The sequence below is a fragment of the Homo sapiens genome, chromosome 8 (genome assembly GCF_000001405.40).
Source record: "Homo sapiens chromosome 8, GRCh38.p14 Primary Assembly".
Taxonomy (NCBI): Eukaryota; Metazoa; Chordata; class Mammalia; order Primates; family Hominidae; genus Homo; species Homo sapiens.
The window spans coordinates 138,766,325-138,781,200 of NC_000008.11; the positions used below are offsets into that span (position 1 = coordinate 138,766,325).

Consider the following 14,876-nt stretch of genomic DNA (forward strand, 5'->3'; position numbering starts at 1 on the left):
GTGACAGAGGAGCGAGGTGGACATGGCTGCGGGCCTGATGGATGCGTGGTCATTAGCAGGGGCGAGAGGAATGAGAGAGGATACATGAGGGAAGGAAATAAGTGAGAAAGAGAAGAGTGGGGGTGGGGGAGAGACAGATGGAGACAGAGAGAGACAGAGACAGATACAGAGACACAGAGAGAGAGACTCAGTAACAGAAAAACAAAGACAAAGAGATGTGAGAGACGGAGAGAGAGACAGAAAAAGACAGAAGACAGATAGACAGGAGAGAGATAAAGAGACACAGAGAAGCAGAGGGACAGTTAAGACAGGCGCAGACAGAGACAGACGCAGAGAGACCGAGAAAGACAGGACAGAAGAGAGAGTTTGAGAGACACACACAGTCAGGGACAGGGAGAGAGACAGAAGATGTGGCATTCAGAGTGCGGTCTCAAGCTGAAATGCCTGCCACAGCATCTGGGACAGGCAGTGGAACCATGCCATAGTGTGGGCCCATCCTGAGGCCACACTAGGGCACCCATGCCCCCCTGCAGGCCCTCCACTCAGACTTGCTGCTGTTGATTGGGTTTGCCAGCTTTGCTAGCACTGCACTGGCTACACAAATGCAGCTGAGTGCAGGCTTCGGCTCCTGCAGACTGAGAGTGAGACCCCGGGCTCCGGGGTAGAGGGGACATGGGTGGTGGTTAACCGCACGACTCAGATCCAAACCCTGGCTCTCCCACGCTCCAGCTGTGTGACCTTGGACCAGTTCCTTAGCAGCTCTGTCACTCGGTTTCTACAAATAAGGAGCATAATATTAATACTTACCCAGTAAAGCTGCTGTGAGGACCACGTGAGCTAATCTACGTGAGATGCTGACAATACTGCCTGGCACGTGGAAGGTGCGCATTAACAGTCAGTTAGGCCAAACGAAGGATGACTGTGTGGAATGGGCTTGGGGTAGGGGAAAGAAAGACAAAGAAATCACTTGGAAGGGACCAGCAACAGGGGAACAGCAGAGGAGGGAAGGGACAGGTGCTGGGGACATAAGGGCCCGGAGAGCACTGAGTAAGGAGTAGCCAGACCTGGATTCTAATCCTGACTCTGTTGACGGCCGGCTGCCACCTGGAGAGAGGCTGCTCCTCTCTGGGGCTCCAGTTCCCCACCAGGATAACAAAACACACAAAAAAGGAAAAAGCCAGCTGTATTAGGAGAACTCTACTCTGATTCTCATATCCGGAATCAATAGGAAAGTGTAAGCTTATGCAAACGAAAGAGGACTGGACCTCTGCTCTGAGAACCAAGTGCTGAAACAGGCACTACCTCATTTGACATTTCAAGCGATCGTATGGGATATTGTTCCCATTTTCACGGCAGAAAACCCAGTCTCCAGACAGTGCACCGCCCGGTCTCCATCCTGGCTGCAAAGCCCACAGAGCCCCTCCAGGCCAAGGCCACTTGCTGCGGTTCTGAGTTGCTGACAGCAGAGGGCGCCCCCACTCCACTGAAAGCAGAAAACCGCCGGCTGCCCGTGCCTGACCACTCTGAAACCTCGCTGCTGATCAGCACATTCAGTGTGGGAGGGAGACACGTGGTGTCTTTCTTCTCCTTCTCCCTCACATACAGTAAACCATTCATATAACATGGGTGCTAGAACTGAATTAACGTATTGTTTTCCCCTGAAATCGGCTGCAGCCCCTTCGTGCCTTTGATGAGCAGGATGGCCCAGGTGTCCCTGTGGTACTTCATGCAGAGAGGGCCTCAGCACACCCTGCATAAATCCTCCCCACAGCCTCCTGGCCCTCCGCCTCTGCCCTCGATCCGATCCATTGCCTCTCCCATTGCCAAAGTGGTCTCCCCAAAATCCATTTCTGGACATCCTTCCTTTCCCAGCCCCCCATGGTTCCCATGGCCTGCAGGATGCAGCCGCCTCCTCAGCCTGGCAGCAGGGGACCCTCCCCATCTGTCTTGCTCACTCTCGGCCACAGCAGCAGTTGCACGGCACTGTTGACTGTCACTGAAGCACACTCTTGCCCGAGCCTGCCCCTGGCTTGGCCACAGGATCGCCTCTTTCTAGAAAGCCCACCTTCCATTCTCCTCTCCGCCAACCAACATCCGGAGGCAGCAGAAGGCAGTGGAAGGGCGTGCACTGTGGCAGAGACATGCAGGTGCTCCTCTTTCCTGTGCTTTGACAAGAACTCAAACCCCTAGCAATCACAACGGACTCGTTTATTAAATAGGAATATGTAAAGTACCCTTCATTTGTTGTTTTTTGGTTCGAATTTGTGAGATAACATAGGTGAAATTCTGGGTACTTAACAGATCACCACCCACAGTAAAGAACGCCATTATGGCCAGGTATGGTGGCTCATGCCTGTAATCCCAGCACTTTGGGAGGTCGAGGCAGGCAGATCAAGAGGTCAGGAGTTTGAGACCAGCCTGGCCAACATAGTGAAACCCTGTCTCTACTAAAAATACAAAAAATTAGCTGGGCGTGCTGGTGGGTGCCTATAATCCCAGCTATTCGGGAGGCTGAGGCAGCAGAATTGCTTGAACCCAGGAGGCAGAGGTTTCAGTGAGCCGAGATAGTGCCATTGCACTCCAGCCTGGGCAATAGAGTGAGACTCCATCTCAAGAAAAAAAAAAGAGGATGCCATTACAACCCAACTCAAATGCTACCTCCCCCATGAAGACTCTCCCATCTCCTGTCTCTCCAGCCCCCTCCAGAAGTGGCTTCTCTTTCTTCTGGAATTCAGTTTCCATCTCATCTCTTCCTCTCTCCTGACACGTAGGCTCTCCTTGTCCTATACTTTGCAAATCTTACCCTCCCCTCTAAGCTGTGAGTTTAAGAGTCAAGGCCTGGATGTGATTTGTCTTCTACCCCCTGCAGGGCCTGGCGTGCAGTGATGCTCATGACATGAATGGATGCAGGCACTGTACTGACTGACGTGAACTCAACAGTTCAACAATGAGCTCCCTGCTGTACTCGGACCACATAACGTGGCCTCAGGAGAGGAAGATAAATGAAACACAGAAGTCTTCAGGCAGCTCCCACCCACCCAATTATGTTACTGTGCTCACCCAACAAAGGAATCCATGCCCTCACCCTGTGGTCTCCTTGGGAAGGGGGAAGATGGCATCTTAGGAGCTGAGAGCCACCCTGGCTGCCCCCACCCAGACACCTCCAAGCTAATGATGCCCATTCCCAGGGACTTCCACCCAAAGGGCTGCCTTGTCCTCCCGGTGGGGACTCCACCACCACCCTGTTCTAGGAGCAGCACATCCTAAGGTGTCTCGGGATGAGCCCTGGAGCTACCCACGGACTTGGTACCTGAGATCTCGAGCTGCCAAGTGGCTGCTCCATAAAGGCAACCGAGTGAAGATGAATGCGGGCATCTGTAGGCACCCAGCACACAGCGGGTACCCAGTAAATACTTATCACAGTCACTCCTAGTGCATGACACTGCCAACCCCTCAAAAGCAACACAAATTGGGGGTGAGACTTATTGATGACTTTTTATAAGGCTGACTTGGGAGCCAAAATGGAAAAGACAGAGGTGCCCATGTCTGCAGGGTGGATTGTGGCTTCAGTCCCTTCAAAACACCAACTCTCTTTTGTTAATTGCTTAGGGACCTTCTACCAGGTGCCAAGCCCTGCACTTGCTCTCATAACTCATTGGATCCTTAGAGCCACTAACTGGGAGAGGCATCACCATCCACCCCTAAATGTCAAGTATGGACATGGAGGCCAGAGGGGTCCAGAGCTTGTCTAAGGTACCTGCACTGGTGGAGGCCAACCAGGGTGACAGCCTAGTTCCTCCGATTCCAAGGCTGGTGCTCTTCCCATTTTGAGGCCCCTCCTTGCTCTGAGTCAGGGCAGGACACCTGGGGAACCTCAGGACTGGAATGTTTACAGCCACCCAACGTTGTCTGGGAGACATGGTTTTCTAGGTGGAAACAGGGCCCTCAACGCCCAGTGCTTGGCCCTTTTTGTGTGTAGACTCCTCTCTGTGCCTGGCTGGATTCACCTTATGATTTGCCCAGCAGCCCCTGGACAGCCCACTCGGGCTCCGCCACCTGGACCTCCTCATGCCTCCAGAGCCTTCAGTTACCTCACTGTGCCTGCAGAGACATGATCTGGTAAACCCCCAGATGAAGGGCCGTCTCCCTGCTTTACAGGGAATGCCCTGCCCTGGGGCTGTTAGAGGTGGCCTCAGTGCTGGACGATGGTGGCTGTCTCTGCTAAGGCAGGGCTGGGGCACTGTCCCACCCCATGTTGGGCAAGGCCAGGCAGCTGGAAGGGCTTTTTCCAAGAGAAGATGGAAACCTTCTTGCTGATATAAGAAATCAGAGAGGTTCCTGAGAAAATAAACTGTAAGCACCCACCAATACGAGAGCTGAAAAGGGGTGTTCGGCATCACGCAACCCAGGCTCTTCCTTGGCAGGTGGGTAAACAGAGGCACAGAGAGGAGCCAGCTCTTTTGTGAGTCACCAGCACATCAGCAAGGGAGTCGGAGGCAGTGCAAAGCTGACCTTCAGAGGTGCGGGCTCATCCTCACCCCTTCTCCGTGTCTGTTTTCTCTTTCTCTCTATCCTCAAACCCCATATATAAAGCACATGCTGCCCAGAACCTTTCTAAGCCTTTTGTAAATATTAACTCATGGAATCCTCATCATATCCTTATGAAGTAGATAAAATTACTCTCTGCAGTGAAGAAACCTGGGACTTGCAGGTTAAATAATTCTGCACAGGTCACACTGCTCGCAGAGCCCCGAGCTGGGATTCAAGGGCAGGCCCCAGGATCACAGTGCAGGGCTGCTCTAGCCACGGCCACGTCACCTGGTGCAGGCTGCAGGGACTCAGAGGCTGATGGGGGCGTGGCTGAGGTTACTCCCTGCACCTCACCAGGGGATGATCTTCGCTTCCTGAGCTTACCCCAAAGGAAGCTCCCACAGCAGGTAGAGCTATGGCGACAGTCTAGGGGAAATACGCCAGCATTCTGCCTTTCTGACCTTCGGGCCTGGTAACCCACAGATGGGAAGGCCCAAACCAGAAATGAGGAGTTTCTGGATCCTGCTGGCTTTCTAACAGGCCACAGGGCATCAGGAAACACATGGCCTCTGCGCTCAGTTTCCCCCGCTTCACAATCAGGAGTTCTCCCCCGGCTTCTCTACAGCCCTTTCCAAGTCTGATAATTTAGGATTTTGATAAAACCGCAGTGTTCCTTGACTGAACAAAAGTCTTAAAGCAAGACTCCAAAAGCTTGCTGGAAAAACGTCCAACGCTACATGGAAAAAAGCCTGTTGCTTCCAAACGGTGTTTTGGCAAGAACAAAACAGTGCATACAGACTGGATTTCTCTTGAAGCAAGTGGGAAAAAGTAATAAATGTTTGTGAATGTGTTAGTTATGGACCGGACGCTGTTCCTGTTATCCACCTTCCAACGGCTTCAGAGAAGACATTAATATTTCCATCCTGCAAGTGAGAAAACGGAGGCTCCAGTAGCTGTGGCAGCTGTCCCAGTGGCAGACCTGGCCCCCCGGGGCCTGCGGAGAGCTCTTTGCTTCTCTGGGAAAGCCGACTGCACCGCGCCTCAGGAGCTCACCCGAAGCCCCCGCAGCCTCCAGGAAGCGTGGAGATCATTGTTCCGATGGAGACGGTTCCTGCTGTGGACGCTCAGTGAGTGTTTTCTCCCTGTGATGTTTCCTGGCTCAGGTGAGGTGGTCCAGGCAGCTTCCTGTTGGCCGTCTCATCCACTCCCAGGGTTTCGTCTAACCCTGAGCGTGGAGTACCCCCTTTAAACCCACCCGCACATCGCCAAAAAGTCCCATTCCACACCTGTGAGGGAAGGCCGTCTGCACGCTGAGTTCGATCTTGGTTCCTGCATCGTCTCTCGCATGGGCCCGGTGCTCACCCATGTGTCAACAGAGGACTGGCCACGGGCCATGCTGCAGGTACCAGCTCACGCAGGGAAGACCCAGAGGTGAATAAGGTGCGTTATGTTAAAAATCCAAGAGTCTACATATGTGTGTGGGGGTGGGTGGCTGAAAGGCAAACAAATGCCATGTGGTTGACCAAGGTCATCACGGTGAAGAGGACAGGGGTTCTAAGCAGCACAGAAGGAGAGGCTCTGGGACAGGTCCAGGGAAACCCAGCAAGACTTCTGAGGGAGAGATGCTTGAGCAAAGCGTATTTAAAAAAAAGATTTTTATACCAATCTTCGTGGCTGGATGGCTGGGTGGGTGGGCACGTGACTGAGGCAATGAATAGAATACAGGAACGGATGCGTCCATTCACCTTTTCATACATTTCTAATCACGCTGTAGGTTTCTTAGGTCAGAGATTATGCTTGTAGTTTTGGATTCTTTCTGGCACATTAAAGAAAATAAATACTTAAAACATAGTTTTATTAGCCAGGTGTGGTGGCGCATGCCTGTAGTCCCAGCTACTCAGGAGAGGCTGAGGCAGGAGAATTGCTTGGACCCGGGAGGTGGAGGTTGCAGTGAGCCGAGATCGCACCACTGACTCCAGCCTGGGCAACAGAGTGAGACTCCGTCTCAGAAAAAATAAAACAAAAAACAACAACAAAAAACCCATAGTTTTGGATTTCTTCAGAATGTCTTCAATGTTTCTCCATTAGGCAGAGGGTGCTGAGTGCTGGGAGGCGTCTCTGCAAAGCCCCGGCGCCGCGTGTGGCCTAGCTGCAGACACTGAGGCTGGGGACAGGCCCCCCAGTTAAAAAATATATATTCTTTAAAAAACAAACAAAGCAAAACAAACAAAAAACATTCTTTTTGCACTTCAGATTAGTGCTGTGTGACTTACACCCACTTTCCTGGACTGCTGGCTCATGGAACAGTGAACCCAGATGAGGCAAACAAGCCCCAGGAGCGGAACCACCACAGGCCCCTGAGTGGCCTTCCCCTGACAGGCTCAGCCCAGCCCAGGATTCAGACAAATGGAGAAGCCACCGCCTTCCCAGGCTGATCCCGGCTTCTGGCTGCCCCCCGAGGGACCACATTGGTACTGGATTTGGTTCTGATGACCAAGGCACTAGGAGTCTTCGGCCTCCATATCCCCTTCAAATACGGCTGTCTCTTGTCTTCACACAACCTGGCTCTGTGCTCCTGTCCTTTGGAGTGGGGGGTCCCACACCTTGGATTCATCCATTGTCCTTACAGGGGATCTGGCCGTAGGACATGTGATTTGAAGGAGTCATCTCTTATTCATTTATTGATTTAGCAAATGTGTATCAAAGGCCACCTCTGCCCCAGCTCGACAGTAAAGCACTGCACACCTGCAGCCGTGTGTTGAGCTGACTACGTAAATATCCGCCATGTGTTGGCAGGTGTTGCCCGCTAAACTCTTGGGACCTTGATGGAGGGCCTGCACCAGGCACTCTGTGGGTGCTGAGGGAAGACGGGATGCCTGGAAGCCTGTTTCAGACTCCAGGCCAGGGACAGGCTCCACCTCTGACTGCACCCTCAGGTGACAGCCAGCGTGTGACCCCCACATGCCTGGGCCTTCTGTCTGAATCACTGCTGAGCCACACGCTTTGGATGTGAGTCTCAAGCTTCCTCTGGCTTCTACAGCCCAGCCCTGCTGCGGGGCAGTTCCTCAAACCCCACTCTCCGCTACACGGGGATTGAAATAAGACCCCTGCTCCCTCCAGCACCAGAGCTGCACAGCAACTCACGCTCCTGTGTGCCCAGAGCCTCAGTTACTCCAAATGCCACTTTTATGTCCTCACCATGTGAGGGAAGGAGCAGAGGGCCCACAGAGAGAGCTGACCAGCAAACAAATCTACAGAAACATGTGAAAGCTCTCGGAAGAGGTAACGGTAAGGGTTTTGCTTATTAAAGTTAAAATGATTAAAATTTAATATACAAACAAACAAAAATCATGTTTGGGAGCCTGCTTTGGGGAACGAGGCCAGTCCCCGCCTCCCTGAATGAAAAGGGACCTTTCAGAAAGCAACGTGAGCGAGCCACAGACAGATTCATTTGCTTTGACCAGTAATTTCACTTCTGGGAAAGCAGCCTAAGGAAATAATCATAAATTTGAAAATAAATAAATAAAGCTATAAGTTTTAAAATGCTCACCAAAAGCATTCTTTTTTTTTTTTTTTTTTTCTGAGACGGAGTCTTGCTCTGTCGCTCAGGCTGGAGTGCAGATGCACAATCTGGGCTCACTGCAACCTCCGCCTCCCAGGTTCAAGTGATTCTCCTGCCTCAGCCTCCCGAGTAGCTGGGACTACAGGCGCCCGCCACCAAGCCCGGCTAATTTTTGTTATTTTTAGTAGAGACGGGGTTTCACCGTGTTAAGCCAGGATGGTCTCAATCTCCTGACCTCGTGATCCACCTGCCTCGGCCTCCCAAAGTGCTGGGATTACAGGCGTGAGCCACTGCGCCCAGCAGCATTCTTTTTAAAAGTGAAAAACTGGAAACAATTGTAAATGATCAATGCCAGGGGAATGGGTACCTGAATTATGGTTTATTCACTCAGTGGAACGCTGTGCAGTCATTTAAAACAAGCTCTAAAAACTCTACAGCAGCACGGAGAAAACGCTGCATGTCGGAACAGCAAACAGGACGCAGCATGGAATACAGGATGATGTGGCTGTGGAGGGACACTCCCCATGTGTAAGAATTCCCAAGGGAAATATGCCTACGTGCCCACTATAGTTGTATCAGGATGGCAGGATTACAGGCTATGTTTCACTATCTTTCAAATATCTTAAAATAAATGTAAATTAAGGTTGAAGAACAAGTTCCTATGGAACTAGAGAGTCACATCCTGCAGGAAGACAGCATGCAGCAGACCCCAGCAAAGCATCTCAGACATGGGTTAGGCGAGAGGGCCTAGCCCCAGCTCTTGGGACACATTGCTCCAGATCGTAAGGAACTCAATGAATGGGGCTGGGAAGAGTACACTGAAAATTCAGCAGCAGCTATGGTTTGGGAAGGTGGAGCTGGGTGGGAGTTGCAGTGGTTGGGCAGCCATCCCCACCACTCCCCAGGGGAACCATGAACCGGCAACAATGTCAGCACATATGGCGGAATCCAATCGGAGAACCCTTCCACTGTTACCTGGCAGCAGTCATGAAGGAGCCTCCACCTAGGCCTCCTCAGACATGTTGGTTGCATGGCAATCTACATTTAAGAGCCCGAGTGTGGGCCAGTTCACAACGTTTGGTGACTGTGGCTCAAATGCAGGTCACCAATGCCACTCTTGTCACCACTCATTCTTCCATTTGTTTGAGAGCCAGGGTAACTGAGGACCAGAGAAGTTATGTAACTTGCCAAGTAAGATACGAGTCCTCTGAGGCAGCAACTGGGACTTTGGAGTCCAATCCTTAAACCTGTCTGGTCTGGAAACCCTAAACTCCGCCTTGGTGCAGAGGATGACAATACCTGCAGGTACTGAGACCACAGCCTTCCCAGCACAACTTACATTTAGGGTGGGAAATTAACACTGTCTGCATCAGCCCTCGCCTGCCACATGCACACATACACATGCAAATATACATGTACACACATGTGCACACATGCACACACAAATGTGTACACACACACACGAGCATACACAGAGCAGATGGTTCCATGCACCCTCTCCCTTTTCTATGGAAAGCCGTATTGATGAATGAGTGCAGACTATAAATACCTTTTCTCCTCGAGTTCCCTTTTCACCTCGTTCTCCTTGGAGACCCTGGGGGACAAAGAAAGAGCAGTGACCCAACATCTTAATCTGGCTTCTCTGTGCTCACCGTGGGGGTGTCCATGGAGAAACTGCCTGGCAGCTTCCAGCCCAGGGTGGCAGGGATGGTGATAGTGAGGACCCTGTCTCCCTGTGTAGTCTAAGGCCACAAAGCAGCTGCTGTGTCGTCTGGGCCTGGGCAGCAGAGGCAGGCCACTTCCAGAGTGAGACGTGAGTTCCTGGGCTTGTCCCTTGGCTTAGGCGATCCAGGTCCTCACGGCCATAGATTGGGACATAGCCCGGCTCCTGAACTCCAGTGGCCAAGGACAGAAATGTGGCTTCAAAGTCAGTTCCCCCCAAGACACTACATCTGTGATACCCCATGACCATGGTGCCCAGCCAGGGGTCCCAACGTTGAATCAGAGAATGGCTCCTTTAAGGCAATCGCCCCTCCTCCCTCGGGGATAGGGTCACTGTCTGTCCCCATTGCTCATCCTGCCTTTATCTAGAGCAGCACCTAGACCTTGTGCTGTGGACTCCCTGCCCCTCTGTGTATAGACTAGGTGGGAATGTCAGCCAGGATATGGGTTTCTCTGAGTGCAGGATCCAAAACATGATCCCCCTGCTTCCCCCCACCCCATCATCCAGGGTCACTGGATCCTCTTACCATGCGTCACTTTGTTGATAATACTCAGCCCTGAACGCTGCATTTTCTGCCTCCCCCAGGTAGAATGTAAGCCCCACTAGGGCAGTTCCTTCAATATGGTATCCCCAGAGTCTAGAACAGAGCCTGTCACTTGGTAGGCACTAATACACATTTGTTGAATGACTAACTGACCCAGTGAGTGACTGTGTCGATCCCTCGTTTGGCACAGGAATCTTCTAGGGGTTGTGTCGGAAGGCTACTGCCCTACTCTGAGAAGCAGAAGGCCTGGCAGTGCATGTGCCTGCTCTTCCCAGGTGCACAGATTACACGGTGAGGCACTGGGGCCACCCACACGAGCTGAAAAAAGCACAGCTCCTCCCCAGGCAGCAACCAGCAGGCCAGGCAATGGCGCAGGGTAGGGACCTCCAGGATGAGCAGGAACATGTCCTGTGTATCTATGTGAGCTCCCTGTGGGCTCCACTCCCTTTTCTCTCCTTTCTTGGAGAAGAGACCCTGGGGCATTCTATGGAAAAGATGGTAGAGATAGCGGGTGCCACCCAGGCCTCCTTGTTGATTTCTGGAATGATACACACATCTTTGACCTAGAGAGAGTACAGGGCCAAGGCCACAAGACGCCGTCCTAAAGAGCAGAGCATCTGCAGGGCCATCCAGACCTAAAGGGTGAGTGGGCATCCTTCCTGTTTTAATTTCATCTAAATATTTTGGTCACACACAGAGATCAGAGGTCTTCAATGTCTCCCTGGCAACTCAAGCTGCTTTGCTTGAAAATGACATTTTACACTGCTTCTTTCATTTATCTATGTTTTAAGCCCTGCATGCATTAGATATTTGTCCTAATGCTCTCCCTCCCCTTGCCCACCACCCCCCAACAGGCCCTTGTGTGTGATGTTCCTCTCCCTGTGTCCATGTGTTCTCATTGTTCAACTCCCACTTATGAGTGAGAACATACAGTGTTTGGTTTTCTGTTCCTGTGTTAGTTTGCTGAGGATGATGGTTTCCAGCTTCATCCATATCCTTACAAAGGACAAGGACTTATCCATTTTTATGGCTGCGTAGTATTCCATGGTACATATGTGCTGCATTTTCTTTATCCAGTCTATCATTGATGCACATTTGGGTTGGTTCCAAGTCTTAGCTATTGTAAATAGTGTTGCAATAAACATACGTGTGCATGTGTCTTTATAGAGAATCGAGAATAGTGTTAAATGGTCGAGAAGCTACTTTGTTCCTCATACACCATATCTGTTTGTTCATCTCTTTATTCACTGGACATACTGAACACCATACTGGACAGTCTGGCACTGTTCCAGGGGCTAAGAATTCAGTAGACTCCACCCTTCTTACAAGAGTACAGTACAGGACAGGCTGGGGAAAATGAATTCTTTAGATCAAGTGTCAAAAATCCTGTGGTGCTGGTTAAAAATGCAGATTCCTGGGATCTACCCTGCTTCTTGATGTGAGAAAGGGGTCCCAGGAATATGCATTTAAACTTGTTCTCTGGGTGATTCTTATGGACTGTAACATCTAATAATTTCTGGTCTAAGAAAGGAGATACCAACACTTCATTGGCATCAGTAAGGCAAAACAGCATTACTGTCTAGATGCAGGTGGAGGAACTTGCTAGAACCTGGTTTTTGATTCCTGGAGAAGGGGTAGAACCCCTGCCCAGACAAGTGCCTTCACTTACAGGAGCTCCGACACGTCCAGGAGGTCCGGGGAGTCCAGGTGGTCCTTGGGGCCCCTGCAGAAGAGCATTTACAGAGTAAAGTTTCAGGGATGGAAAAGAAAGGCAAGTGCAGCCGTACAGCTCAGCCAGTCCCACGTTTGGTGACAAGAGCTGCTAGCTCACCTCTCACCAAGTGCTGCCCATGCTGTTGGCACAGGTCTCGCCAGCAGACACTCCCTCGACCTCTGCTTCCCTTCCCTATTTAGAAGTCATGCCATCTGCTGCCTGGTGGAGCCCTGATTCACACCCAGATTCTCTTGACTTCAAGAAACAGCTAAAGGTGTGTGCCTATGAACCACCAGGAGGCCAGATGCTACTATTCCATTTCACTCTCCCCGTGCCCCTCGGCCTCCCCATGACCTGGGTCTGGATATGTTCATAGCTTCTGAAACATTACAACTGATTCCTGTGGCTCATCATTCACACTTTGCCATGGGCTCAGTACAGCCTGGACAAGTCCTGACAAAGAGCTCAGAAGTCTGCAGACCTGGAGGTACCTCTGCTAACCAGACCATGAAGTGCTATTGCCTCTGAACAACTAGTTTGGAAATTATCTATTAAAGTCTGCTAAAATAACAACATGTATTCATTCAGCCAAGGGTATCCCAATTTTTAATCTATCCTACTGCAATAAAAATATAGTAGATAAGGAGAAACACACAAATGCACACATGCACGCATATTCAGTGCTTCATTAATTTTAGTGGAAAACAAATGACATTAGTATAGTCCTTAGGACCATAAATAGGGGAATGTTATATATTACAATACATCCATATGAATGTTATATATTACAATATATCCATGTATGATTGGGTACATCCAATACATCTAATTCTATGCATTGATTAAGAGAATGTGTGGGGCCCATCTGTATTTACAGAGAAAGATGTCTCTCATCTCTTGTTAAATAACAAAGATAAATGACCAAGTATGATATAAATACATTTTTGTAAGAATTGTGTGTGGATATACACACACAAATGTGCAAGCAGTTATATGAGAAGAGGGGCAGGGAACCTATCTGAGCATCTCTTCTGCACCTAAAGCAACTGGCTTTGCACTGGGCCTTGTCCCCTGGGAGCATCAGAAGGGCCCAGCTCACAGCAACACTCACCCGCATGCCGACCTCACCCGGCAGCCCCGGCTCTCCCAGCTCTCCTGGCTCCCCCTGAACAAACAAAACAACACAAAGTCATAGGCAGTGGGACACAGGCCCAGGTACACCAGAGAAGCCCACAGTCTCCCAGGGCCTCTGCTTCCTGCAGCTCAGAACACATCACAGAAACAAGGTAGCCACCAGTGAGCAGGGCCCGGGCTCCCCTCAGATGCTATTTCTATAAGCAAAGAAGCGGACCTTTGCTGCACACAGTATTTTTTTTTCTTTAGAAACAGGGTCTGATTCTGTCTCCCAGACTGGAGTGCAATGGCACGATCATAGCTCACTCATTATAACTTCAAAATACTTGGCTCAAGTGATCCTTCTGCCTCAGCTTCCCAAGTAGCCTGGACTACAGGCACGCACCACTGCAGCCGGTTGTTTTGTTTTTTGTAGAGACAGAGTCTCGCTTTGTTGCCTATGCTGGCCTTGAAATCCTAGCCTCAAGTGATTCTCCTGCCTCGGCCTCCCAAATAGCTGGGATTATAGTTGTGAGCCACCATGCCTGGCAACACAGTATTAGCTCCACTCCTACTCACTTCTGTGGCTGGAAGTCAACAAAATTAACTTTGGAGAGAGCAGGGGGAAAGTGTAAAAACTGGCGCCACCCTGACGGTTGTCTTCATGGAAAGGATGTTGGCCACCTAGAGTGGAGTGAGAAGAGAGTCTAGGGTCCAAGTAACTCCCCTTTCTCCCTTGTCTCCAGGATCTTAGACCACCTGTCCCAAAGTGCTGCCAGCTGTGGACCTCAGCGTTGCTCACAAGCCAGGTTCCCTCTCTGAGACCTGATCATGTGTGGCTGAACATGGCGAAGGGATCAGAGAGGTGAAGAACGCAGAACTAATGTGTACTTGGATGCTTGGTGGAGAGGAGACTGACCCACCGAAGCTGAGATCACTTTGAGCTTGGGTTGCTGGAGGATGTTGCAGCTCAGAGGCAGGTGAGATGAAGAGGTGGGGTTTGGGGTAATGATCGGAGGAAAGCTGGCTTGCCACATAGGGTGTGGGGTGTTGCTTGGGTCTCACTCTGACTCCTCCAGCTACAAACTGGGGTCTTAAGCAAATCCATTGCCTCGCTGGGGCTAGTTCCAAGTCTAGGCACGGGGGATAACAAGGTTGCCTTGCAGAACTACTTGTTAACTAAATGAAAAATCATTTCCAAGGACAGGCAGGCGATACCCGGGGGGCAAAGCTGCTGCTGGTCTTGTCACAGCTATTAGGCTGAGCTCCTGGTATCTGCGAGGATCCTAATATAAATACGTCCCCACTCAAGTCTGGCCCTGGCAATGCCACCCCACTTAAGGACACGGGGTTCTGACCAGGAGATCACCAGCCTAGTACTGCCTTGTGAGCCAGGGCAGACGGAACAGAACTTACTCTCATGCCTTTGCTGCCGTCTCTCCCAGGGGGGCCGGGCAGGCCCAGGGAACCCTAAAGCCAAAAAAAGAGAATAGCAATTAGTAAAGAATAACTGAGACAGGCTCTCAGAATGCTAGTGCAGTGGAGAACGTGCCAGGAAGGGAAGGAAATTGTGACCAAGACTGCTGCTCAAAAATTGATCCACAAGCCTGCAGCATAGGCATCACTTGGGAGAGTATAAAATGCAGATTCCCAGGTTTCACATCAGATCTACATCAGGGTCCATGTCATA

The 14,876-nt window shown here is 50.8% G+C and overlaps 1 protein-coding gene across 13 annotated transcripts in view, besides 2 other annotated features; it reads right to left on the reverse strand.

The window, feature by feature from the left end:
* The window catches only part of COL22A1 (collagen type XXII alpha 1 chain), a 325,807-nt gene that overhangs the window by 178,090 nt on the left and 132,841 nt on the right, over window positions 1-14,876 (reverse strand). For all 13 annotated transcript variants that reach the window (XR_001745487.2, XM_017013150.3, XM_011516886.4 and 10 more), the window contains 4 exons: window positions 14,603-14,656; window positions 13,185-13,238; window positions 12,029-12,082; window positions 9,642-9,686 (listed from right to left, as the gene is read on the reverse strand). Coding sequence is in view for 12 of the 13 variants with exons in the window: in XM_017013150.3 (XP_016868639.1) it covers window positions 9,642-9,686; window positions 12,029-12,082; window positions 13,185-13,238; window positions 14,603-14,656 (207 nt within the window). In the remaining variant the exon portion in view is untranslated. The remainder of the gene's footprint in view (window positions 1-9,641; window positions 9,687-12,028; window positions 12,083-13,184; window positions 13,239-14,602; window positions 14,657-14,876) is intronic.
* Window positions 1,378-1,537: a silencer, noted in NCBI's record as "silent region_19571". NCBI's record gives its function as "represses an Ori minimal core promoter by ATAC-STARR-seq in GM12878 lymphoblastoid cells {active_cell/tissue: GM12878}" and the evidence as "EXISTENCE:reporter gene assay evidence [ECO:0000049][PMID:35858748]".
* Window positions 4,349-5,319: an enhancer, noted in NCBI's record as "H3K27ac-H3K4me1 hESC enhancer chr8:139782916-139783886 (GRCh37/hg19 assembly coordinates)". NCBI's record gives its function as "activates a minimal SCP1, AML or CMV promoter by ChIP-STARR-seq in primed H9 embryonic stem cells {active_cell/tissue: H9 hESC(primed)}" and the evidence as "EXISTENCE:reporter gene assay evidence [ECO:0000049][PMID:30033119]".